Source organism: Homo sapiens, chromosome 19, assembly GCF_000001405.40.
Source record: "Homo sapiens chromosome 19, GRCh38.p14 Primary Assembly".
Taxonomy (NCBI): domain Eukaryota; kingdom Metazoa; phylum Chordata; class Mammalia; order Primates; family Hominidae; genus Homo; species Homo sapiens.
Genome location: NC_000019.10, coordinates 39,862,467 through 39,888,686, shown reverse-complemented (window position 1 = coordinate 39,888,686; position 26,220 = coordinate 39,862,467). Strand labels below are relative to the sequence as shown.

Here is a 26,220-nt window from a genome sequence, read left to right as displayed (position 1 = left end):
TTAATCTGGCGAACTGGACAGGCGTGACTTTTTTTTTTTTTTTTTTGGCACAGAGTCTGGCTTTGTCACCCAGGCTGGAGTGCAGTGGCGCGATCTCGGCTCACTGCAACCTCTGCCTCCCTGGTTCAAGTGATTCTCCTGCCTCAGCCTCCAGAGTAGCTGGGATTACAGGTGTGCAACACTATGCCCAGGAAATTTTTGTATTTTTAGTGGGGACGGGTTTCACCATGTTGGCCAGTCTGGTCTCCAACTCCTGAGCTCAGTGATCTGCCGGCCTCAGCCTCCCAAAGTGCTGGGAATAGAGGCATGAGCCACTGTGCCCGGCCGACATGCAGGACTTAATTGAATATATTCCCTAATGTTTCCCAAGCTCCTAGAATAGCCCCTGACATACAGCGCCTAAATACACAGGAGTTGTTGATGTTCTTGTTAGTTGCTTCTTACTGAAACCCCCAGCTTCCCTACAGATGTGGGAGCTCTTATTACCCCGCAGTTTACAGCTGAGGAAACTGAGGCAAGGCTAAGTCAGTTGCCCTTACCCACCGCCCAGCCCTGCTTGGGAAGTGTGGCAGTTGACCATCTTTTTAGGAGACTCAGCCAGGAGCATGTCTTTCTCCTGCCTTCTCCTCTGATTCTTCACATTTCCAAAAGAATCCGGTGTGCACTGTCTGTGATAAGGAAGGGTAAGAAAGCATGTTAATCAGGGGTTGATGTATTTATTTATTTTTTAGAGACAGGGTCTTGCTCTATCACCAAGGCTGGAGTGCAGTGGTGTGATCCTAGCTCACTGCAGCCTCAAACTCCTGCTCTCAAGCAATCCTACCACTTCAGCCTCCTGAGTGGCTGGGAGTACAGGCATGCACCACCATGCCCAGTTAATTTGTTTTCTTTTTTATTTTGTAGAGACAGGATCTCGATATATTGCTTAGGCTGACCTTGAACTCCTGGGCTCAAGTGATCTTCCCGCCTTGGCCTCTCAAAGTGCTGGGATTATAGACATGAGCCACTGTGCCCTGTCCAGGGGTGGATTTACCAGGCTTTGTTGGAGCCTAGTAAATCTTTAACTGAAACCACTGGTCCTCAGCTCATAGGTTTAAGTTCATTTCCCCAAGAATTTAGCCTAACTTTCCACTCGCTGATGCTTTAAAGCAAAAACCTGTGGTTCTGTTTACTCTTCAGAAGAAAAACTTCCACTCATAGCTGCTAATAACAGCAAATGCTCCTGAAGCATGCATGCTATGCCAGCCACGTTTCTCAGCACTTTACAGATACTAATTTATGTGATCCTGACAACAGTTCCATGGGGCAAACGCCTTATTCCCACTTGATAGATGAGGAAACAGAAACAGGGAGAGGTGACTCACTTGCCCAAGGTCACAAAGAGGGTAAGGGGGAAACTGTTTGAACTCGGGCAAGTGGCTCCGGGGGCGATCATTGCTTATTAATGGCTGCAGCAAGCGGTAAACAAAGGATAGCTGGAGGCTTGTTACTTCATCGAGACCTGTATTCGTTTCCCATGGCTGCCATAACAAATTACCACGAGCTTGGTGGCTTAAAACACTAGAAATGTATGTTCCACAGTCCTGGGTGCCAGAAGTTCAACATCAAGGTGTGGGCAGGGCTGCACCCCCTCCAAAGACACTGGTTGGGGGATCTTCCTTTCCCTTTCCAGCTCTGCAGACTCCAGGTTCTCTGGGCTTGTGACAACACCATTCTAATCCCTGCCTTCATCTTCATGTGGCCTTTTCTGTGTGTCTCTTTGCCTTTTTCTTTCTGGCTCTTATAAGGATACTAGTCATTGGATTTAAGGCCCAATTTAATCCAGGATAATCTCATGTTGAGATTATTACCCTGATTACATCTGCAAAGAACTTTATTCCGAGTAAGCTCACGCTATGGGATTCTGTGTGAATATGTCTTTTGGGGACCACCATTCAATCTACTATCAGGCCCTGTTATTATATCCATTTAATAAATAGGAAACTGAGGGCCTAAGAGGTGAGGTCACAAAGATCAGCATCAGGCATGGGCTTGAACTAGGGTCCCACCCTCACTCAAAGTATACTTTCTGAAGCGTGGCCTGCCTCTCTTCCCCTCCCAGGTGAACGGTGTGGACATGAAGCTGCCCGTGGTGCTGGCCAACGGCCAGATCCGTGCCTCCCAGCATGGTTCAGATGTTGTGATTGAGACCGACTTCGGCCTGCGTGTGGCCTACGACCTTGTGTACTATGTGCGGGTCACCGTCCCTGGAAACTACTACCAGCTGATGTGTGGCCTGTGTGGGAACTACAACGGCGACCCCAAGGATGACTTCCAGAAGCCCAATGGCTCGCAGGCAGGCAACGCCAATGAGTTCGGCAACTCCTGGGAGGAGGTGGTGCCCGACTCTCCCTGCCTGCCGCCGCCCACCTGCCCGCCGGGGAGCGCGGGCTGTATCCCCAGCGACAAGTGTCCTCCCGAGCTGGAGAAGAAGTATCAGAAGGAGGAGTTCTGTGGGCTCCTCTCCAGCCCCACAGGGCCACTGTCCTCCTGCCACAAGCTGGTGGATCCCCAGGGTCCCTTGAAAGATTGCATCTTTGATCTCTGCCTGGGTGGTGGGAACCTGAGCATTCTCTGCAGCAACATCCATGCCTACGTGAGTGCTTGCCAGGCGGCTGGAGGCCACGTGGAGCCCTGGAGGAATGAAACTTTCTGTCGTGAGTGAGGGAGAGCCGGAGGGGCAGGGAGGGGAGAGCTTGAGGCACAGAAGGGGTAGACCCTGGGCTTTGCAGCCCCTCCCTCCCCAGGGCTCTGATCGGCACCCCCTCCTTGCAGCCATGGAATGCCCTCAGAACAGTCACTACGAGCTCTGTGCGGACACCTGCTCCCTGGGCTGCTCGGCTCTCAGTGCCCCTCTGCAGTGCCCAGATGGGTGTGCTGAGGGCTGCCAGTGTGACTCCGGCTTCCTCTACAACGGCCAAGCCTGCGTGCCCATCCAGCAATGTGGCTGCTACCACAATGGTGTCTACTATGAGGTAGGAACCTAGTCATCTGGGGCAGAATATGGGGTCTCACCCCTCCCACTGTTCATCAGCCCCACGGCCTGTCTACTTAGCCTCTTATTTATTTCTTTTAGAGTCAGGGTCTCACTCTTGTCACCCAGGCTGGAGTGCAGTGGTACCATCATAGTTCACTGCAGCCCCAAATTCCTTGGCTCAAGCAATCCTTCACCTCACCTCCCAAGTACCTGGGACTATAGGTGCGCACCACCAAGCCCAGCGAATTTTTAATTTTCCTGTGGACACATAGAGATGGGGGCGTCTCACTATGTTGCTCAGGCTGGTCGTGAACTCCAGGCCTCAAGCCATCGTCCCGCCTTGGCCACCCAAAGTGCTGGGATTAATGGCATGAGCCACCATGCCCGACCCACTGAGCCTCTTTTTTTTTTTTTTTTAAAGATATAGTCTTGCTCTGTTGCCCAGGCTGGAGTGCAACCTCCGCCTCTCGGGTTCAAGCTCACTGCAACCTCAGCATCCCAGGTTGAAGCAATTCTCTTGTCTCGGCCTCCCGAGTAGCTAGGAGTACAGGCACGTGCCACCACACACGGTTAATTTTTTTGTATTTTGGTAGAGGTGGAGTTTTGCCATATTGGCCAGGCTGCTCTCGAACTCCTGACTTCAAGTGATCCTCCTGCCTTGGCCTCCCAAAGTGCGAGCATTACAGGCGGGAGCCACCACAGCTAGTCCACTCAGTCTCTTCAGTGTCTCTTGTACCCACTCCTTTCCCCGTCCCCATGGCCCTCCCTTGGTCCAGCTGGTCCTCTCCTACCTGGGTCCCTCCCAGCTCCTACCTCTGCTCCCTCTGGTCCACCCTCCACGTGGCAGTGGTAAAGATCTTTCTAAATATGACCACGGGCTCTGAAGCTTTAAACCCTCCCCTGACTCCCCAGGTCAAGTTGTGGCTTTGCCTTCCAGGTCTGGACGAAGGGAGCCTTTCTGACCACAAAGACAAGATTTCCATGTGTTATACCAGCTGCTAACACCCTCTACTTCCCTCTCCCACTCTGTCCCCGTAGGTCCTTTTTCTTTGACTGGAGCATGTGTTTGTCTAATGTCCATCTCCCTTGGGGACTGTGAGCTCTCCTAGGGGTGGAACCCTCTCTCTGTTGTTCTCCTCACATAAATAATATTAATAATAACAGAAAATGTGTAGATAGTGCTTACTATGTATCTGGTACCGTTTTAAGTGCTATGTGTGCATATTTTTATATATGCATTACATATCTAAAAACTTTTTATTCTGAAAACGTTCAAACATGCAAAAATTAAGAGAATAGTGGAATGACTGTCCATGTACTTACCCATCACTTAGCTTCAAAAATAAGCCATATTCTCCCGATCTTGTTTGATGTCTACCCCACGTATCTCTCCTATCTGAATGTTTTAAAGGAAACCCTTTTCTGTTTTTGTTTTTGTTTTTCCTTGAGATGGGGTCTCGCTCTGTCACTCAGGCTGGAGTGCAGTGGCGCAGTTTTGCCTCACTGCAAGCTCCGCCTCCCGAGTTCACACCATTCTCCTGCCTCAGCCTCCCGAGTAGCTGGGACTATAGGCGCCCGCCACCACGCCCGACTAATTTTTTGTATTTTTAGTAGAGACGGGGTTTCACCGTGTTAGCCAGGATGGTCTCAATCTTCTGACCTCGTGATCCACCCGCCTCGGCTTCCCAAAGTGCTGGGATTACAAGCATGTGCCACCGCGCCCGGCCTACCCTTTTCATTTTATCTAAATTTTACATGTCTGAATATAACTTGGTTATTATCTGAATATAACTTGGTTATTATCTGAATATAACTCAGTTATATTTCCAAAGGCAGGCGCTACTATCATCTGCAATCTGCAGATCATGAAACTGAGCCATAAAGAGGTGAAGTAACTGCCCAGAGTCACACACTTTGGAAACAGCAGAAACGGGCTTCAAGCCCAGGCGATCTGCCCTTAGTTACTGTGTCACACCATTTCTCCTACAGCAGACGTTGAGTGGATATTTTGGAATGAATGAGTAAATGAAGAAAAGTGAATGAACCAATGAATGATGGCCCCAAAGCCATGCTGTGCCTCAGCTTCACAGACAAGGGGCCATCCTGCTGAGAGATGTCCCTTGTCTGTGATGTCTGCCAAACCCCTCTGTGCCAGAACGCCAGAGATGTGAGAGTCGGCTCCCACCCGTGGTGTCCCTGATGGCCGTTCCCTCTCTCCCCACAGCCGGAGCAGACAGTCCTCATTGACAACTGTCGGCAGCAGTGCACGTGCCATGTGGGTAAAGTCGTGGTGTGCCAGGAACACAGCTGCAAGCCGGGGCAGGTGTGCCAGCCCTCCGGAGGCATCCTGAGCTGCGTCACCAAAGGTGCTGGGCTGGGCTGGGCTGGGACTGGGGCTGATGGGACTAGGGATGGAGGATGGGGACTCTGGGGCTGAGGGTAGTGTAACTGGGGTGTCCATGGCGGGAGGTGTACAGGACTAATGATTGAGGTTGCAGACCTGGGGAACCCTAGACCAGGTTTCACAGGGCCAGGGCCACCTACTTTGGGAGGTAGGGACCCTTAGGGAAAATCCAGGCTGTGGGGACCCTCAGAGATAGTTTTCTCAGGGTGGATGTCAGAGACCCTCGGTATAAGGCAGGGACAGGCGCGCCTTTGCTCTAATGTGCTACATGGTAAATGTTTAAGCTCGCAGGCTGTAGGTTCTCGTTCCAGCTACTCACTCTGCCACTGTGGCATGAAAGCAGCCGTAGACTATGTAAGTGAAGAGGTCAGGTTCCTATAAGACTTTAGAATACAAGAGCAGCAGCCTAGGGTTCCATCATGAGCGGAACACTGATGTGTGGGATCGGGCTTGGGGTTCAGACACTAGCACCAAAGGGCAGGGGAGAGATTGGGATCCCAGGGGCAGGGACAGAGAGCAGAGTTCTGAGTCTCACGCACGGAGACCTCACCAAGGCAGGACATTGGATATGGGGACCCCTCTTAACTGGAAGATCAGGATTTCTAGGGGTATAGTCTCTGATGTGGGAATCCCCCAGACTAAATCTGGGACACAGCCACCCCCAGGGCTCATTTCTTAGGGTGAAGAGCAGAGAACTCTCCTCCCCCTAAGGATAAGAGAATGGGAGCTCCAGCACCAAGGAGTGGGGGCTAAGACTCTCAGGGCTGATGAGCAGGATAATGGGGACTCCCAGGAATGGGGGGTATATCACTCAGCATCTAGTCGAGAGACAGAAAGCGTATGGCCATTTGAATGAGGAAAGTTTAATTAAAGAATCACTTACTTATTAATAGGAGATTAACTATTAAGGGTAAAGAGGGTCTGGTGCCGTGGCTCACACACCCAGAACTTTGGGAGGATCACTTGAGGCCAGGAGTTCGAGACCAGCCTGGGCAACATAGCGAGACCCCTGTCTCCACAAAAAATTGAAAATTAGCCAGGTGTGGTGATGCGTGCCTGTGGTCCCAGCTATTTAGGATGCTGAGGTAGGAGGATCAGTTGACCCCAGGATTTCGAGGCTGCAGTGAGCTATATGATTGCACCACTGCTCTCTAGCGTGGGCAAGACAGCAAGACCTTGTCTCTTTACAAACAAACAAATAAACAGAAATAAGAAACGGTAAAGAGAGCACTAAAGAATACCACCAAAGCACACACAGGAAGTAGCCGCCACTCTAGGGCTAAGTTAAAAGCCTCATGGAAGGGAGAAATTGGTCCCTCCTCTTCAAGGAGGGGAGAATCAGCCCCAAGGCTGAGTCCAGTCTCACTGCAGCTGTAGCCCACTGGGTGGCACAGAGGTTTCTGCAGGCTGGACTTGGCAAGAAGGGAACCCCTCACTGGGAAGCCAGCTGCGGCCAGTGGCACTCGCTGAATGTGGCCCCGCACCCTGGCCAGAGCTGAAAGGACCAAACTGGCTAGAAGCCAGACCCGGAGACCCTCCCTCCTGCAGTGACTCTCCGGCGCCCTCTGTTGACAAAGCTTAACTCCGTGGGTGTATTTGAAGCTGAGAGGCGGTACATTGATAATGGACACAGGAGGAAGGAGACGTTTGAAGGCTGGCCTCTCCCACACAGGGGTTCCGCAAGCTGGGGTCACAGATGTAGTAACTGTACGAACAGGGTCTCGGACACAGAAACCCCCCAGGACAGGGCCTCAGCAGTGAGACACGATGAAGGCTACTGTCTTGAATACAGCAACCCTCAGGGATGGAGTCTTGCACTGAGGGAGCCCAGCCCATGAGACTTAGCTAGTTAGGGTCTCAAACATTTCAAATCCTGCTGAGACCCTGGCACTGGGCTCTTGCCAGAAGATCACCCCAGGGCCCTAGTCTTGGGCATAGAGGCCTCCAGGACCTAGAGAAATTGGAGACCAATTTCTATCAAATGTGGAGATGTCCAGGGGGCTGAGGTCTCAGGCATGGGGGACCCTGAGACCTAGATCTTTTTTTTTTTTTTGAGCTAAGGTCTCACTCTGTGGCCCAGGCTAGAGTGTAGTGTAGCTTACTGCAGCCTCGATTTCCTGGGCTCAAACAATCCTCCCGCCTCAGCCTCCCGAGTAGTGGGGGACTACAGGCACACACCACCACGCCTGGCTAATTTATTAATCTTTCTGTAGAAATGGGGTCTTACTATGTTGCCCAGGCTAGTCTCAAACTCCAGGGCTCAAGCTATCCTCCCACCTCAGCCTCTTAAAGTGCTGGGATTACAGGCCTGAGCCACCACACCTGGCCTGGGGCCCAGGTCTTGAACACAGAGAACCCTGGGGCTGGGATCTCAGACATGGATGCTCTCAGGGCTGGCATCGCAGACACAAGGACCCCTGGGGCACAGATCTCAACTGGGGTCAAGTGCACCTTTTCTCTAAAGGGCTAGATGGTAAGTGTTTAAGCTTGCAGGCTATACCTTCTGGATCACAACTACTCACTCTGCCACTGTGGTGTGAAAGCAGCCGTAGCCTATGTAAGTGAAGACGGTGAGGTTCCTATAAAACTTAAAATACAAGAACAGGGTGAAATCTCAAGCAAGGGCACCATGGAAAGTGCACCTTAAACACAGACCCAGAGCCTTGGTCTTTGCCTTGGTCTTAGGTGCGTGGACTCCAGGATCTCAGTCTCACACAGCAAATGGCAGGGCCTCAGTCTCAGAGGTAGGGGAACTCTAGGTACTGGGTCTTGGCTGTACAGACCTCTGGGGCCCAGGTCTCCGGTATGGGACCTTTGACAGCCGAGACTTAGACACAGTCCCCCATGGGGCCTCAGTGTCAGCTGTGTGCGACTCCCAGGGGCTGGTCTTGAAAATAGCAGGCTGGGCATGATGGCTCATGCCTGTAATCCCAACACTCTGGGAGGCCAAGGTTGGCTGATCACTTGATGTCAGGAGCCCGAGACCAGCCTGGCCAACATGGTGAAACCCTGTCTCTACTAAAAATACAAAAATCAGCCAAGCATGCTGGTGGGCACCTATAATCCCAGCCACTCAGGAGGCTGAGTCAGGAGAATCACTGGAGCCCAGGAGGCAGAGGTTGCAGTGAGCCGAGATTGTACCATTGCTCTCCAGCCTGGGTGACAGAGAAAGACTCCATCTCAAAAAAACAACAAAACAAAAGAAAATATAAAAGCAAACTATAGGAAGTGGGTCCTAGACATGAGGACTCTGGAATGTGGTCTTGCCTGCAGTAACCCTCAGATCCCTGGCACAGACTGGGTAGATATGGAGGGAGCGGCCATGCTTTACAATGGGCAGCCCCTCAAGGTCCTCCTCCCTCTTCTGTCCCCAGACCCGTGCCACGGCGTGACATGCCGGCCACAGGAGACATGCAAGGAGCAGGGTGGCCAGGGCGTGTGCCTGCCCAACTATGAGGCCACGTGCTGGCTGTGGGGCGACCCACACTACCACTCCTTCGATGGCCGGAAGTTTGACTTCCAGGGCACCTGTAACTATGTGCTGGCAACAACTGGCTGCCCGGGGGTCAGCACCCAGGGCCTGACACCCTTCACCGTCACCACCAAGAACCAGAACCGGGGCAACCCTGCTGTGTCCTACGTGAGAGTCGTCACCGTGGCTGCCCTCGGCACCAACATCTCCATCCACAAGGACGAGATCGGCAAAGTCCGGGTATGTGTGGCAGGATGGTCCCCTGAGGTCCCCGGGAGGGCAGGAGGGATCCTGACGACCACAGTTAGCAGCTCAAGGCTCTTTGTCTTCACCTGGGCCTGAAACAAACTGTCAACAAAAAGAATAATTGCAGCAAAAATGTCACCCTGTTACTGGGAATTAAATGAGCCTAGCCCCTGGCAAAGGGCTTTAACATAGGACCTCAGCATTTGCCTTTTTTATAGACCTGGGTTTCAATCCAGCCTCTCCTCCTTATGAGCTATGTGATGCTGGGCAGTTCACTTGGTAGGCCTCAGTTTCCTCATCTGTGAAGTGGGCATCGTATCAGGGCCTCCCCCACAGCAAGGCCGTGCATGTCACATGCTGAGCTCAGAGTCTAGTCCAGGTGAACAGTCGTTTGAGTGTTTGTGAGGGAACAAGTGAGAGACCCAGAGACCAGGACACAGAGAGAAATACAGGGAGATCGGGCTAGGTGCGGTGGCTCACGCCTGTAATCCCAGCACTCTGGGAGGCCGAGGCGGGTGGATCACCTGAGGTTAGTAGTTCGAGACCAGCCTCGCCGATATGGTGAAACCCCCATCTCTACTAAAAATACAAAAATTAGCTGGGTGTGGTGGTGCTACTGTAATCCCAGCTACTCTGGAAACTGAGGCAGGAGAATCACTTGAACCTGGGAGGTGGAGGTTACAAGAGCCAAGATTTCGACACTGTACTGCAGCCTGGGTGACAGAGTGAGGATCTGTCTCAAAAAAAAAAAAAAAAAAAAAGAAAGAAAGAAAGAAATATAGGGAGATATGTAGGGAGATCAGAGGAGACAGATGGGCTATCCTTTCTGCCCAGGGAAATGGAGATAGAGCTTAATGGTAGCTCACAGAGAGAAAATGAGGGATGGAACAGAGTAGGCACTGGATAAATGATGGTGAGTGAGTGGAAGAGACACACAGAGAATGAGGGTAGGAGGGAGGAAGGGAAGAGGAGGGAGAGATAGACAGAGAGACAGAAAGAGAGAGAGAGAAGACCAAGTGATATAGACTTAGGTGAAGACAGAGGGAGAGAGACACAGAAAGACAGAGAGACAGAGAGACAGAAGAGGGAGATAGAGATGAAGGGAGAAGATCTAGAAAAAGTAAAGTGAGGTTTCGTTCCCCAAGACCTGGGCTAGAACAACTGTCCACAGTGTGTCAGATGACAATCCAACTCTCGGGGGAAGGCCCTGGCCTCTCCCAGCCCCCGGTGGGATGAGAGAGAGGGAGGCAGAGGGCCAGAGCTGGGGCCGTAAAACCTCCAGTGACCCGTTTGCCTTCCCTCCTTCCCCCAGGTGAACGGTGTGCTCACAGCCTTGCCTGTCTCCGTGGCCGACGGGCGGATTTCAGTGGCCCAGGGTGCATCGAAGGCACTGCTGGTGGCTGACTTTGGACTGCAAGTCAGCTATGACTGGAACTGGCGGGTAGACGTGACGCTCCCCAGCAGCTATCATGGCGCAGTGTGCGGGCTCTGCGGTAACATGGACCGCAACCCCAACAATGACCAGGTCTTCCCTAATGGCACACTGGCTCCCTCCATACCCATCTGGGGCGGCAGCTGGCGAGCCCCAGGCTGGGACCCACTGTGTTGGGACGAATGTCGGGGGTCCTGCCCAACGTGCCCTGAGGACCGGTTGGAGCAGTACGAGGGCCCTGGCTTCTGCGGACCCCTTTCATCTGGCACAGGGGGCCCCTTCACCACCTGCCATGCTCATGTGCCACCTGAGAGCTTCTTCAAGGGCTGTGTTCTGGACGTCTGCATGGGTGGTGGGGACCGTGACATTCTTTGCAAGGCTCTGGCTTCCTACGTGGCCGCCTGCCAGGCCGCTGGGGTTGTCATCGAAGACTGGCGGGCACAGGTTGGCTGTGGTGAGTGTTGGGGGAGCAGAGGTGGGGCGGGGGGCGGGGTCCCGTCTCTTCGGGGCTGGTTTGGTTTCACTCTGGTCCTTCTGGGTCTCTTTGTTTTCTTTTTTCTCTGTTTGTCTCTCTGTCTCTTGGTGCTCATCTCTGGGCCTCGCTTTGCTTGTGTCTATCTGTCTGTTTCTCATTCTCTAGCTCCCTCAGTTTCTGCTTGGGTCTCCTGGTGTCTCGCCCTCTCCCATTTCTTTCTCTGTGTCCTCTCTGTGTCTTGTTTTCTGTCTCTCCCTTTTTCTGTCTGCTCCCTAGTATCTCTGTCTCCTCCCACCCTGTCCTGGGACCCCACCCCTGACACCCTTCTCTCTATTTCTCTCCTTCCTGCTCCTTCGTCTGCCCACAGAGATCACCTGCCCAGAAAACAGCCACTATGAGGTCTGTGGCCCACCCTGCCCAGCCAGCTGTCCGTCCCCTGCACCCCTTACGACGCCAGCCGTATGTGAGGGCCCCTGTGTGGAGGGCTGCCAGTGCGACGCGGGTTTCGTGTTAAGTGCTGACCGCTGTGTTCCCCTCAACAACGGCTGCGGCTGCTGGGCCAATGGCACCTACCACGAGGCGGGCAGTGAGTTTTGGGCTGATGGCACCTGCTCCCAGTGGTGTCGCTGCGGGCCTGGGGGTGGCTCGCTGGTCTGCACACCTGCCAGCTGTGGGCTGGGTGAAGTGTGTGGCCTCCTGCCATCCGGCCAGCACGGCTGCCAGCCCGTCAGCACAGCTGAGTGCCAGGCGTGGGGTGACCCCCATTACGTCACTCTGGATGGGCACCGATTCGATTTCCAAGGCACCTGCGAGTACCTGCTGAGTGCACCCTGCCACGGACCACCCTTGGGGGCTGAGAACTTCACTGTCACTGTAGCCAATGAGCACCGGGGCAGCCAGGCTGTCAGCTACACCCGCAGTGTCACCCTGCAAATCTACAACCACAGCCTGACACTGAGTGCCCGCTGGCCCCGGAAGCTACAGGTGAGGAGGGCTGTGGGCCAGACAGGAGCAAGTGCCAGCTCTGGGGTTGCCTGAGATGGTAAGGGCTTCACCATTCCCCTGGGCCCCTTTCACAGCTTAGCTGGGGCATGATGGAAGGGTCAGAGTGTACGCCTAGGAGCCTGGTGGCTTGGCACAGCGGCTTCTTCCTCTCTGAGCCTAGTGTATTCCTCTGTAAACTGGTCTAAGAAAGTACCTGTTTTTGAGAAGGATGAGGAGTCAGTGACATGAGCCTATAGAGGCTCTTTGTTTTTTCTTTTCTGTTTTTCTTTCTTTCTTTCTTTTCTTAGCCTGACTCTGTTGCCCAGGCTGGAGTGCAGTGACAGGATTAGGGCTCACTGTAGCCTGGAACTGCTGGGCTCAATCCATCCTCCCGCCTTGGCCTCCGCCTCCCAAGTGGCTGGGACTAAAGGCGCAGGCCACCATGCTGGCTAATTTTTCATTTTTTTTGTAGAGATGGGGGTCTCACTATGTTGCCCAGGCGGGTCTGAACTTCTGACCTCAAGTGATCCTCCCATCTCGTCCTTCCAAAGTACTGGGATTGCAGGCTTTGCCACCAGGCCCGGCCTATAGATGCTCATTATTATTTTCAGAGGGGAGGTGACATGCTCTGGGTCCCACAGCTAGTAGGTGGTGGGGCCAGGATTCAAACCCGTGTTCTCTCCACTCACCGCGCCCCATCCCCCCGCCGCCATCCCCCGCCCGCAGGTCGACGGCGTGTTCGTGGCTCTGCCTTTCCAGCTGGACTCGCTCCTGCACGCACACCTGAGCGGCGCCGACGTGGTGGTGACCACAACCTCAGGGCTCTCGCTGGCTTTCGATGGGGACAGCTTCGTGCGCCTGCGCGTGCCGGCGGCGTACGCGGCCTCTCTCTGTGGCTTATGCGGGAACTACAACCAGGACCCCGCAGACGACCTCAAGGCTGTGGGCGGGAAGCCCGCTGGATGGCAGGTGGGCGGGGCCCAGGGCTGCGGGGAATGTGTGTCCAAGCCATGCCCGTCGCCGTGCACCCCAGAGCAGCAGGAGTCCTTCGGCGGCCCGGACGCCTGCGGCGTGATCTCCGCCACCGACGGCCCGCTGGCACCCTGCCACGGCCTTGTGCCGCCCGCGCAGTACTTCCAGGGCTGCTTGCTGGACGCCTGCCAAGTTCAGGGCCATCCTGGAGGCCTCTGTCCTGCAGTGGCTACCTACGTGGCAGCCTGTCAGGCCGCTGGGGCCCAGCTCGGCGAGTGGAGGCGGCCGGACTTCTGTCGTGAGTACTGCTCCATGCATGGTCCACATGGTTGGGTCTCTCCCTGCCCTTCCCAGGACTGTAGGACAGCAGCCCCTTCCTCCTCCATGGGGCTCAGGGGCCACTTTCCTTCCTCTGAGCTTGGTATCTCCTGTCACCAAACACCTTGGCACTCACACACTGAAATGCCCCAAGAAAGGTACTGCAGTGAGAGAGAGTTAGAAACACCTAGTCAGAGTGTGGGCGTGGTGGCTCACGCCTGTAATCCCAGCACTTTGGGAGGCCGAGGCAGGTGGATCACCTGAGGTCAGGAAGTTGAGACTAGCCCGGCCAACATGGTGAAATCCCTGTCCCTACTAAAAATACAAGATTTATCTGGGCGTGGTGGTGGGCACCTGTAATCCCAGCTAATCAGGAGGCTGAGGCACTTGAACCCAGGAGGCAGAGGTTGCAGTGAGCCATGATGTGACACTGCATTCCAGCCTGGGCAACAGAGTGAGACACCATCTCAAAAAAAAAAAAAGAAAGAAAGAAAAGAAACACCTAGTCAGAAACCTGGGGTCCAGGACACTGTTGAGGATTGGTGATCCATGCTCTCAGATATCCAAGGCATGTAGATTGGGATGGCTGACTCTGCCTCAGTCACACAGCAAGGTACCCCTGGTTAGGAAGACCTAGTGAGTTACAGCTGGTCAGAGGCCCTTGGTCTGTTGCACACACTGAAATACACCTAGTCACATAGAATAAGTCACATACCTTCAGTGGTATCTGCTCAGATTTTGTACTGAGACTAACTGGTTAGATACACTCAGATAGAATCAGGACTCTTACATAGCCCTGGGCAGATCCACACAGATGCATGGTTAGATAGTCCTAGGCGGTTCCCTTCAGGCAGGTCTCCTGGTCACAGGTATCCTGCCAACTTCACCCAGGCACACCCTTAGGCAGACCATGTCAGAAGGACTCTGGGAGATGCTGCATGTCAGACACCCACAGCTGGGTGCCCTCAGGCAGAGCCATACCCTGAGATACATGTGGCCCCACACCCCAGTCACATTCACACGCTGAGGTACCCATAGTCAGTTCTGATCTTGCATACCCCGAATAGATATAAGTGATCCATTTCACCCAGGTAAGCCTGGCTTACATAGTGAGACCCCATCTCTACAGAAAACTACTAATAAATTAGCCAGATGTGGTGGCTCATACCTGTAGTCCCAGATACTCGGGGGGCTGAGGCAGGATGATCGCTTGAGCCCAGGAGGTGGAGGCTGCAGTAAGCGCGCCTCTGCACTCCAGCCTGGGTGAGATAGAGTGAGACCCTGTCTCAAAAAAATAAAAAATAAATAAATAAATAAATAAATAAAAATCAGGCAAGCAGAGTCATTTGATCTTCAGAAATATTTGGTCAGGCTAACACATAACCTGGTCAGAGAGACCAGGGCATGTCCCCTCCCATTCCAGGTCCCACACTGAGTCCCCCAGTTAGATGTCCTGGATCACATGTGCATACACAGAGACACTCAAGTTGGCCTGAGCAGTTTTCCCACTCAGGGCCTCCCAAGACCCCGACTCGAACACCTACCTGGCTCATGCCCACCTTGTCCCCACAGCCTTGCAGTGCCCTGCCCACAGCCACTATGAGCTCTGCGGTGACTCCTGCCCTGTGAGCTGCCCGAGCCTCTCAGCACCCGAGGGCTGTGAGTCGGCCTGCCGTGAAGGCTGTGTCTGCGATGCTGGCTTCGTACTCAGTGGTGACACCTGCGTACCCGTGGGCCAGTGTGGCTGCCTCCATGATGGCCGCTACTACCCACTGGGCGAGGTCTTCTACCCGGGCCCTGAGTGTGAGCGGCGCTGTGAGTGTGGGCCAGGTGGCCATGTCACCTGCCAGGAGGGCGCAGCCTGTGGGCCCCATGAGGAGTGCCGGTTAGAGGATGGTGTCCAGGCCTGTCATGCCACAGGCTGTGGCCGCTGCCTGGCCAACGGGGGCATCCACTACATCACCCTTGATGGCCGTGTCTACGACCTGCATGGCTCCTGCTCCTATGTCTTGGCCCAAGTCTGCCACCCAAAGCCTGGGGACGAGGACTTTTCCATCGTGCTTGAGAAGAATGCAGCTGGAGATCTCCAACGCCTCCTGGTTACTGTGGCTGGCCAGGTTGTGAGCCTAGCTCAGGGGCAGCAGGTGAGTCCATGTGAGCCTGCCCTGGGGGTCTGAAGGCAACACAGCCCCATCTAGGGGGTTCTGAGGGAGACACGACCCCACCCTGTAGGTATGAGAGGGACATTCCTCTAACATGGGAACTCTGGTACCTACCCTGGAAGGTTTGGTGAATGGTCCCACCGTGGGAGATTTTTGTGTTGTTTTGTGACAGGGTCTTGTTCTGTCACCCAGGCTGGAGTATATTGGCGTGATCACAGCTCACTGCAGGCTCAACCTGCTGGGCTCAAGCAATCCTCCCACCTCAGCCCCCCATGCCTAGCTAATTTTTTATTTTTGGTAGAGATGAGGTCTTGCTGTCACGGCCAGGCTGGTCTCGAACTCCTGGGCTCAAGTGATCCACCTGTCTGGGCCTCCCAAAGTGCTGGGATTATAGGTGTGAGTCACCACGCCAGGCCTGGGGCCCAAGAAGTTTAAGGGAAACATGACCTGACGTTAATGGGACTGAGGGAGATGCAGCTCTGGCCTGGGAGTGGGACAGGACAGCCTTGCCTGTGGTTCTGTGAGTTCCTGACCTACCCGACCCTTCCACCCAGGTCACCGTGGACGGCGAGGCTGTGGCCCTGCCTGTGGCTGTGGGCCGCGTGCGGGTGACCGCCGAGGGCCGAAACATGGTTCTGCAGACGACCAAGGGGCTGCGGCTTCTCTTTGATGGCGATGCCCACCTCCTCATGTCCATCCCCAGCCCCTTCCGTGGACGGCTCTGTGGCCTCTGTGGGAACTTCAATGGCAACTGGAGTGACGACTTTGTCCTGCCCAATGGCTCAGCAGCGTCCAGTGTGGAGACCTTCGGGGCTGCATGGCGGGCGCCCGGCTCCTCCAAGGGCTGTGGCGAGGGCTGCGGGCCCCAAGGCTGCCCAGTGTGCTTGGCAGAGGAGACTGCACCCTATGAGAGCAACGAGGCCTGCGGGCAGCTCCGGAACCCCCAGGGCCCCTTCGCGACCTGCCAGGCGGTGCTGAGTCCCTCTGAGTACTTCCGCCAATGCGTATACGACCTGTGCGCGCAAAAGGGTGACAAAGCCTTCCTGTGCCGCAGCCTGGCAGCCTACACGGCGGCCTGTCAGGCAGCTGGCGTGGCCGTGAAGCCCTGGAGGACAGACAGCTTCTGCCGTGAGTGTCCGTGGGTCCCTCGCAGGACTCTAGACCAGGTGTAGGGGCCCCTCCTGGCCCATTCCTTCTATTTGCATGTCGGAGTGGTTTCTCCCTGTAAAAGCGCTCCCTCCCCACCCCCTCCCACCCCACACCCACACAACTTCTTCTCCCACGGCATAGTCCACTGGCTTCCCTGCTATCCCTCTGACTGTTCCTTCTCAGCCTCCTGTCTGGGCCCACTCTGCTCAAACCTCAAATTCTCTTCTTCCCTAGTGTTCTATTCTGGACTCTTTCTGCAGTGACCTGAAAGGGAGAGTTGGATGGGTTGGGAGATCTGTGGCTCACACAGACCCTCCTTCTACCCCCGACAAGACCATATCCCCTCAGATCCCCCCAAGACAAGGCTGCAGGCTATTAAACACCCCGCTAAACTAGGACTGTACCTCTCATTCAATTCCCCATGGGAGGGACATCACCAGAGACTCTCAGGAAAAAGCAATGGCCCCTTCGGCTCCAGGTCAGAGCCAGGTCTCCCCTGGGCAGGACCTATACCCAGGGCGGTCATCCACACCCGCGGCCTTAGATTTGTTCTCATTGTTGACCATGGACCTGGTCTGTCTGTCTCAAGCCCTGAACTCTCTCCTGACTGTCAGCCCAGTGATCCTGATTTCTGACTTCTGGCCTTCAGAACTGTGGGAGAATGAATTTCCCCTGTTTAAGCTACAAAGTCTGTGGTAATTGTTAGGGTGTCCAAGACACCTTCCCCTGGGTGTCCTTACCGTCCCTCTTACCTGCTGTGTTCCCAAATAAAATCAGCATTTCACCCCCAGCCTGATGCTCCTTCCCCAAACCTGGTGGGCATTGCAGAACAGCCACACCTCCACCAATTGCTTAGCCAGAGACCAGGGACTTACCACAGATAATTCCCTTGGGTCCATATAGCCCCTGTCCCAACTCTGACCCCTCTGCCTGTGCCCCCCTATCCCAGCCCTGACCCCTTTGCCTGTGCCCCCCACACCCTGGCCCTGACCCCTCTGCCTGTGCCCCCTACCCAGCCCTGACCCCTCTGCCTGTGCCCCCTACCCCGGCCCTCAACCCTCTGTGTGTACCCTCCCCATCCCGGCCCTGACCCCTCTGCCTTTGCCCCCCCACCCCAGCCCTGACCCCTTTGCTTGTGCCCCCAACCCCAGCCCTCAACCCTCTGTTTGTGCCCTCCCCATCCTGGCGCTGACCCCTCTGCCTGTGTGCCCCCACTCTGGCCCCGACCTCTTTGCCTGTGCCCCCGACCCTGGTCCTGACCCCTCTGCCTGTGCCCCCTACCCTGGCCCTCAACCCTCTGTCTGTGCCCTCCCCATCCCAGCCCTGACCCTTCTGTCTGTAGCCCCCTACCCTGGCCCTGACCCCTCTGCCTTTGCCCCCTCATGCCTGCCCTGACCCCTCTGCCTGTGCCTCCCCACCCTGACCCTGACCTCTCTGTCTACACTCCCTGATGCAGCATGTTCACTTTGGGCTCTTCCTGTCTGTCCCACTGGAAGTGAGCTCTGTAGGACTGGGGTTGAGACTTTTCTCAGTATTTGTGTCCTCAGCACCGCCTAAAACAGGGCTGGGTGTGCAGTAGGCCCCCTTGGTTATCCAGGACCCTTTGGAGGTGTGACTCAGCCCTGCCTCCTCTCTCTGCAGCGCTCCATTGCCCCGCCCACAGCCACTACTCCATCTGCACTCGCACCTGCCAGGGATCCTGTGCGGCTCTCTCCGGCCTCACGGGCTGCACCACCCGCTGTTTTGAGGGCTGTGAGTGCGACGACCGCTTCCTGCTTTCCCAGGGTGTCTGCATCCCTGTCCAAGATTGTGGCTGCACCCATAATGGCCGATACTTGCCGGTGAGTAGGGGCTTGGGGTGGGCAGAGAGGGTAGAAGAGCTTGAGAGAGACCCAGAGATTCTGTGCTGACCTCTTCAAGGCTGGGGACAGAGGAGGTACCGCCATATCCCAGCTATGTGACTTGATGCAGGCAACCTCCCCCTATTAGTCTCCTGCAGCTTCTGTAACCAATTACCGCAGACATGGTAGCTTAAACAGGAGAAATTCATTCTCCCACAGTTCTGAAGGCCAAAAGTCAGAAATCAGGAATACTGGGCTGACATCAAGGTGTTGGCAAGGTGGCACTCCCTCCAGAGAAATCTAGGGGAGGCCATGCCCAGTGGCTCATACTTGCAGTCCCAGCCCTTTGGGAGGCCAAGGCGGGAGGATCACTTGAGCCCAGGAATTCAAAACCAGCTTGGGCAACATACAATTGTTTTTTTAATTAGCTGGGCATGGTGGTGCACACCTATAGTCCCAGCTACTCAAGAGGCTGAGGTGGGACAATGGCGTGACCCCAGGAGTTGGAGGCTGCAGTGAGCTATGATCACGCTGCCGCACTCCAGCCTGGGTGACAGAGCAAGACCTTACCTCTAAAGAAAAAAGGAAAAGAGCCAGGCACGGTGGCTCACACCTGTAATCCCAGCACTTTGGGAGACTGAGGCGGGCGGATCACGAGGTCAGAAGTTCAAGACCAGCCTGACCAACATGGTGAAACCCTGTCTCTACTAAAAATACAAAAATTAGCCGGGCATGGTGGTGCGTGCATGTAATCCCAGCTACTCAGGAGGCTGAGGCAGGAGAATCACTTGAACCCAGGAGGCGGAGGTGGCAGTGAGCCGAGATTGCGCCACTACACTCCAGCCTGGGTGACAGACCGAGACTCCATGTCAAAAAAAAAAAAAAAAGAAAAGAAAAGAAAAGAAAAAAGAAATCTAGGGGAAAATCTGTTTGTTGCCTCTTCCAGTTGCTGGTTGCTGCAGGTTTTCCTTGGTTGTGGCCACATCACACCAACCTCTGCCTCCTCTTCTGAGTGTGTCATAACACCTCCCTCTGCTTCTCTCTTATAAGGATACACGTGATTGCATCTAAGGCTCACTCAGATAATCCAGGAGAAATTTTCCATCTTCAGATCCTTAATTCAATCACATCTGCAAACACACTTTTCCCATATAAGGTGACATTTACTCATTACAGGGATTAGGACCTGATATCTTGGGGCGGGGGCATCATTTGGCCCCTCCTTGAACTGCATTTTCTTCACCTGTAAAATGGGACTAATCACCATCTTTGTACCATAGGTATCTGAGGATCAGGCCCGATTATACAGGAAAGATACCCACTGAGCACTGGGCCTTGCCCTGCATGTTCATCACACTCAGTAAAAAGAAAGAGCAGTTTACAGCGGGGCGCAGTGGCTCACACCTGTAATCCCAGCACTTTAGGAGGCCAAGGCGGGCGGATCAAAAGGTCAGGAGTTCGAGACCAGCCTGGCCAATATGGTGAAACCCCGTCTCTACTAAAAATACAAAAATTAGCTGGGTGTGGTGGTGGACACCTGTAGTCCTAGCTACTCGGGAGGCTGAGGAAGGAGAATCCCGTGAACCCGGGAAGTGGAAGTTGCAGCGAGCCGAGATTGTGCCACAGCACTGTAGCATGAGCAACAGACCGAGACTCCATGTCAAAAAGAAAAAAAAAGAAATAGCAGTTTACAACAGTGCAAATAGGTAGCCCAGCTAATAATTGTTTAATAATATGAATTAAATTGAAGAATTGATTTATTCTTGTTAATAATTTTTTTGAGCTCTTACTATGCACCATGTTTGTTATGGGTGTTATTATTTATTTATTTATTTATTGAGATAGGATTGCACTCTGTCTTTCAGGCAGGAGTGCGGTGGCATGATCACGGCTTACTACAGCCTCAAACTCCTGGGCTCAAGCGATCTTTCTGTCTCAGCTTCCTGAGTAGCTGGGACCACAGGCTCACACTGCCATCCCTGGCTGACTATTTAATTTTTATGTAGAAATGGGATCTCGCTATGTTGTCCAGGCTGGTCTCAAACTCCTGGGCTCAAGCAATCCTCCTGCCTTGGCCTCCTAAAGTGCTGGGATTACAGGGATGAGCCACCTCTCCCGGCCATGTTCTGGATGTTAATTCATTTAATAATCACAACAATCCTATGCAATAGATACTATGACTATTTTCCCCATTTTACAGATGAAGAAATTGTGACATAGAGAAGTCAGCCCGAGGCTAGCCATTAACATGCAGCACTAACTTGCATTGCTTGCAAATGGAGCCAAATTTTGCTCTTTCCTTGAGGTCTCACTGCCTACTGGAAGCCATCCTTGATCCCCTAGGCTGGGTTAGGTGCCTCCTCTGAACCCCTCAGCTCCCTATGCTTCCCCATCTCTGCCCTGACCCCTCTGCCTATGCCCGAAGTCTTGGATTTGTGAGTCTGGCCTTCATGGGAGAGGTCTGGCCTAGAGATGTGGAAATCATCATTGTAGAGATGGCATTTATTTTGTTAATTACATTTCTTCATTTCTTACCTGTATCAGTTAGCTTTTGCTGGGTTACAGATCACTCCAAAACGTTGTGGCTTAAAACAATTATTCATTTAGTTTGCAATTTTGTGACTGCAGTTTAGGCTGGACTTGGCTGGGTGGTTCTTCTGCTATCCTCTGGGCTTACTCATGTATAATATCTGTAGTCAGCTGGTGGGTCAGCTGAAGGCTGCCTGGTCTAGGGTGGCCTGAGCTGGAAGAGTTATCTATGTTCCATGGGGTCACTCATCTTCTAGGGAGCTAGCCCAGGCTTGTTCTCATGGTGGCTGGGCAGGATTCTGTGTATGTGAGAGAGAGAGAAGGAAAGAGAAGCTGTGAGGTCTCTTGAGGTCTAGGCTTAAACCTGTTACAACATTGCTTCTTCTGTGTTTCATTGACCTAAATATAGTCTTACGGCCAACCCAGATTCATAGGGAGGGGGAAATAAACTCTATTTCTTAATGGGAGTCTGTAAAGTCACTCTGCATGGATACAGAGGGTTCAAGCAGTGTGGCCATTTTTGCGATCCATCCCACCACCATAACCTGGCCCCTTTCTGTGCACAGGTAAACTCCTCCCTGCTGACCTCAGACTGCAGCGAGCGCTGTTCCTGTTCCTCAAGCTCTGGCCTGACATGCCAGGCAGCTGGCTGCCCACCAGGCCGTGTATGTGAGGTCAAGGCTGAAGCCCGGAACTGCTGGGCCACCCGTGGTCTCTGTGTCCTGTCTGTGGGTGCCAACCTCACCACCTTTGATGGGGCCCGTGGTGCCACCACCTCTCCTGGTGTCTATGAGCTCTCTTCCCGCTGCCCAGGACTACAGAATACCATCCCCTGGTACCGTGTAGTTGCCGAAGTCCAGATCTGCCATGGCAAAACGGAGGCTGTGGGCCAGGTCCACATCTTCTTCCAGGATGGGATGGTGACGTTGACTCCAAACAAGGGTGTGTGGGTAAGTTTGTGAGTAGGGGGTAGGGAATGTCTCCCTGGGCTTTTGCTCTTCTGATTACAGTGTCCCCACATTCCTGGCTTCCTTTCTGTCTTGCGATCTGTTTTCTTTATCCAGGTCTCTGCGGTTTAGTCTCTGGATTTGTATTTATCTCAATATTTCAAACTTGGTCCCTCTGTTCTGGCTGAGTTCTAGAGGAGCAAAAACATACTCAAGCAACTTAATAGTTTTGACATTAGTATGAATCGAGACTCTATGGGTTGCAAGTGACTTAAAACCAAATTCAAACTGCCTTAAGCAAAATTGAATTTATTAGTCCATGTAGCTAGAAAATCCCAGGATAGAGCCTCAGGAATGGCTGGATCTAGGTGCCCTGGCAATATTATCAGAAATTTGTACTTCCGTCTTTGAGACTTGCTATTTGCCAAATCAGCTTTGTTCTCAAACAGGCTTTCCACTTACAGGTGTAAAGACGACCCCCGCCCAGCTGCCCAGGCCTACACCCCACCAGCTTATCTACCTTAACAGAAAATGGTTCAATAAAAGACCCAGGATTATATCTCACTGAGCCAGTTTGGGTCACATGCCCACCCCTGGAGCCAATCACTGTGACTTTAGGGAGGAAGTTCCGTGATTGGTCAAGGCTGGGGGTGGGGGGTCACATAATGTGTCAGGGTTTCCCATAACCTGGTTCAGTGATTCACTAGGACTCACAGGACTCAGCATATAGTTGTACTTAGGGCTAAGATGTATCATAGGGAAAAGATACGAAGTGAAATTGACACAGGGAAAAGGTGCATCGCACAAAGTCCAGGGGAAATCATGTGCAAGCTTCCGAGAGTCCTTTCTCGGTAGAGTCACACAGGATGTGCTTAATTCCTCCAGCAACAAAGTTGTGATGAAACATGAAATGTCATCTGCCAGGGAAATTCATAGAGTCTCAGTGCCTGGGGTTTTGGTATCCACCTACCAAAATTCCAGACTCCTAGAAGGAAACTCCCAGAAGATGCTCAGCATCTTTGTTCATCACTGGACTATAAGCCGCAGGTAGGCAGGGATCCTGTCCATCTTGGTCACCAGTTTGTTCCCAGTACCCAGATCAGGGCATGGCACCTAGAGGGTACTCAGTAAAAGGCTGGTTTTGTGAATAAACTCAGCCCTGCTCCTTTTGTGCCAGGCCATGTGCTGGGTAACAGAGATGACTCGGACTCAGTCGTTATACTTGGAAAGCTTGCACCCTACTGAGACTTTCCATCCACTAGTCTTCATCTGTCCTTCACTACACCCATCCTCCCTTTTCCCCTCCTTCCTTCCAGCATCTATTCTACCCCCTTCTCTTTTTCCTATTTCCTTCCTTCTAGTCTTTTTCCCTTCCTTCTTTCTTCCATCCACCCACCCATCTGTCCATCCATCCATCCACCCACCAATCCACCCATCCACCCATCCATCCCTCCATCCATCCACCCACCCACCCACCCACCCATCTGTCTTTTCAGATCTATCTACCTATCTCTCCAATCATCTGGCAGAGGAAAACTCAGATACAAAAGCATTTAGAGGGCTGGGCATGGTGGCTCATGCCTGTAATCCCAGCGCTTTGGGAGGCCGAGGCGGGCAGATCACTTGAAGTCAGGAGTTAGAGACCAGCCTGGCCAACACGGCAAAACCCTGTCACTACTAAAAATACAAAAATTAGCCGAGCATGGTGGCACATGCCTGTAGTCCCAGCTAAGGCAGGAGAATCACTTGGACCCGGGAGGCGGAGGTTGCAGTGAACTGAGATCGCGCTATTGCACTCCAGCCTGGGCGACAGAGCAAGACTCTATCTCAAAAAAAAAACTAAAACCAAAACCAAAAAACAAAACAACAACAACAACAACAAAAAACAAACAAACAAAAGAAGGATTTACAAAAAAAAAAAAAAAAAAGACAAGTCTTTTAAGGAAGTTTCTCTAGGGAATCTAACTTTAGAAGGGTTAATTCACCAACTAACATAGACAACAGTTATGTAAAGGAAAAACTCACAAAGTTACTGGATCTGCAGCCTATGATGAAGAAAAAGTAATTTTCTCACATGATTATTATATTTGCTAAAGTCATTACTTATCTTCAGACATCAGCATTGCAAAAATAAAGGATAACGTTGTTTTGGTTAGGGAACCAATAACTTACAGGATGTGCTCAAAGTTTGTTTTATTTTGCAAACTAGAACCAGGCTGAGGGAGGCAGATCACCTGAATCCAGGAGTTCAAGACCAGCCTAGACAACACAGTGAGACCCTATCTTTAGAAAAAAATACAAAAATTAGCCTGGTGTGGTGGCACACATCTGTAGTCCTGTAGTCTCAGCTACTCAGAAGGCTGAGGTGGGAGGATTGATTGAGTCTAGGAGGTCAGGGCTGCAGTGAGCTGTGATTGCACCACTGCACTCCAGCTGGGATGACAAAGCAAAACCCTATCTTAAAAAAAAAAAAAAGAAAAGAAAAAGAAAACTAGAACCATAAGGATGACCCTGGGGTTTGATTGTTTGTCTGTCTGTTTGCTTATCTGTCTGGTACAAAATGCTTCCCCCACCGACTTTGGGGTGTTGTGTAGATCCATGGGTACGTCTCTCCATCCCTCCACTCTCCATCCTTTTATCCGTCTATCCAGATCTCTAGCTATCTTCTCATGTATCCATTGCTCCAAATAGTGCAAACATCCAGGTCTTCATCTCTTTCAGCACCTGCCTCTTTGATTTAGCTCCATGAACTTATCTTGTTTGGGGTCTCCATCCTCCATCCTGGTAACACCCAGCTATTCTGGGGCTGTGGCCTCACCTCTGTGTTTGCTGGGCATCCCCCACCAGGTGAATGGTCTCCGAGTGGATCTCCCAGCTGAGAAGTTAGCATCTGTGTCCGTGAGTCGTACACCTGATGGCTCCCTGCTAGTCCGCCAGAAGGCAGGGGTCCAGGTGTGGCTTGGAGCCAATGGGAAGGTGGCTGTGATTGTCAGCAATGACCATGCTGGGAAACTGTGTGGGGCCTGTGGAAACTTTGACGGGGACCAGACCAATGATTGGCATGACTCCCAGGAGAAGCCAGCGATGGAGAAATGGAGAGCGCAGGACTTCTCCCCATGGTGAGGGATGTAGTATGGAAACCAGGCTTCTTGGGGCAAAGGCACCTGGATCCTCATGGGATGAGGGCAGTCAGGGTGGGTGTTTAGTCTGCAAGCGGAGGTGCTAAATGTCTGTGTCTTGCAGTTATGGCTGATCAGTCATCCACCAGGAACGAAGATTTCCTGAAGAAGACCTGGTCCCTCTGGAGGTTGCAGTGGCTGAAGGATGCATCATGTGCTCCTACCCTGCTCTACCGCTTTTCTGGGTCACAGAGGCCAAATGTGAGAGCATTGAATAAATATCTTAAGCTAAGCTGCATGTCATTGTGTCTGTCTCATGCCTTCTCATCCCTGACTTTCCTCCTGCACAGCAGGTATCAGGTGCCTGGGGAATCTGGCACGTGATGAATATTTATTGGGGGCTGGGAGGATGGATGGATGATTGCATGGATGGATGAAGAGATGGATGGGTGAATTGAGAAAATGGTGTGTGGGGAACTAGGAAGATGAGGCAATAGGTGATTAGAAGAGTGGATGGATGAGAAGATAAATGGCCAGGCACGGTGGCTCACGCTTGTAATCCCAGCACTTTGGGAGGCTGGGGCAAGAGGATTGCTTGAGCCTAGGGGTTTGAGATCAGCCTGGGCAACATAGTGAGACCCCATCACTACAAAAAATATAAAAATTAGCTGGGCGTGGTGGCACTTGCCTGTATTCCCAGCTACTTGGGAGGCTAAGGTGGGAGGATGACTGGAGCCTGAGAGGTCGAGGCTGCAGTGAGCCATGATCATTCCACTGCACTTCAGCCTGGTCAACAGAGTGAGACCCTGTCTCAATAAAAAGAGAAGATAAATGATTGGATGGAGGGAAGGAGTGGAAAATGGAGAAAGATCAATAGATTCTGGCTTTATCATTTATAACCCTAGCAAGTTACTTAATTTCTCTCTGGATTAGTTTTCTCATCTTTAAAGTAGAGTTAATGATAGTACTTATAGAGCTGGAGTGAAGATTTAATGTGTTAATGCAACCAACAAGTAAAACACTGAAGTCTTTGTTTCCTTTCAAATCTGTCCCCTTCCCATGAGGGTCTTCCCTACCTCCTTAAATAGCACAATTACCACCCAGTAAGTTCAGCAGCAAGAAAATAGGGGAATTATTATTATTATTATTATTAT

The 26,220-nt window shown here is 52.7% G+C and overlaps 1 protein-coding gene across 1 annotated transcript in view, besides 2 other annotated features; it reads left to right on the top strand.

The window, feature by feature from the left end:
• FCGBP (Fc gamma binding protein) overlaps positions 1 to 25,364 on the top strand; it is a gene marked incomplete in the record, with an annotated part of 71,312 nt that extends 45,948 nt beyond the window's left edge. Inside the window, 13 exon segments of the mRNA NM_003890.3 lie at positions 2,102 to 2,696; positions 2,815 to 3,014; positions 5,241 to 5,382; positions 8,795 to 9,132; positions 10,451 to 11,024; positions 11,413 to 12,029; positions 12,756 to 13,299; positions 14,892 to 15,463; positions 16,036 to 16,609; positions 18,272 to 18,471; positions 21,567 to 21,950; positions 24,795 to 25,066; positions 25,191 to 25,364. Of these exon segments, the coding sequence (NP_003881.2) occupies positions 2,102 to 2,696; positions 2,815 to 3,014; positions 5,241 to 5,382; positions 8,795 to 9,132; positions 10,451 to 11,024; positions 11,413 to 12,029; positions 12,756 to 13,299; positions 14,892 to 15,463; positions 16,036 to 16,609; positions 18,272 to 18,471; positions 21,567 to 21,950; positions 24,795 to 25,066; positions 25,191 to 25,200 (5,022 nt within the window).
• Positions 2,469 to 2,970: an enhancer, noted in NCBI's record as "H3K4me1 hESC enhancer chr19:40376357-40376858 (GRCh37/hg19 assembly coordinates)". NCBI's record gives its function as "activates a minimal SCP1, AML or CMV promoter by ChIP-STARR-seq in naive H9 embryonic stem cells {active_cell/tissue: H9 hESC(naive)}" and the evidence as "EXISTENCE:reporter gene assay evidence [ECO:0000049][PMID:30033119]".
• Positions 21,059 to 22,258: an enhancer, noted in NCBI's record as "MED14-independent group 3 enhancer chr19:40357069-40358268 (GRCh37/hg19 assembly coordinates)". NCBI's record gives its function as "activates an origin of replication core promoter dependent on BRD2, BRD4, P300/CBP and CDK7 cofactors, and independent of MED14, by STARR-seq in HCT116 cells {active_cell/tissue: HCT116}" and the evidence as "EXISTENCE:reporter gene assay evidence [ECO:0000049][PMID:35650434]".
• Positions 25,365 to 26,220: the final 856 nt, after the last annotated feature.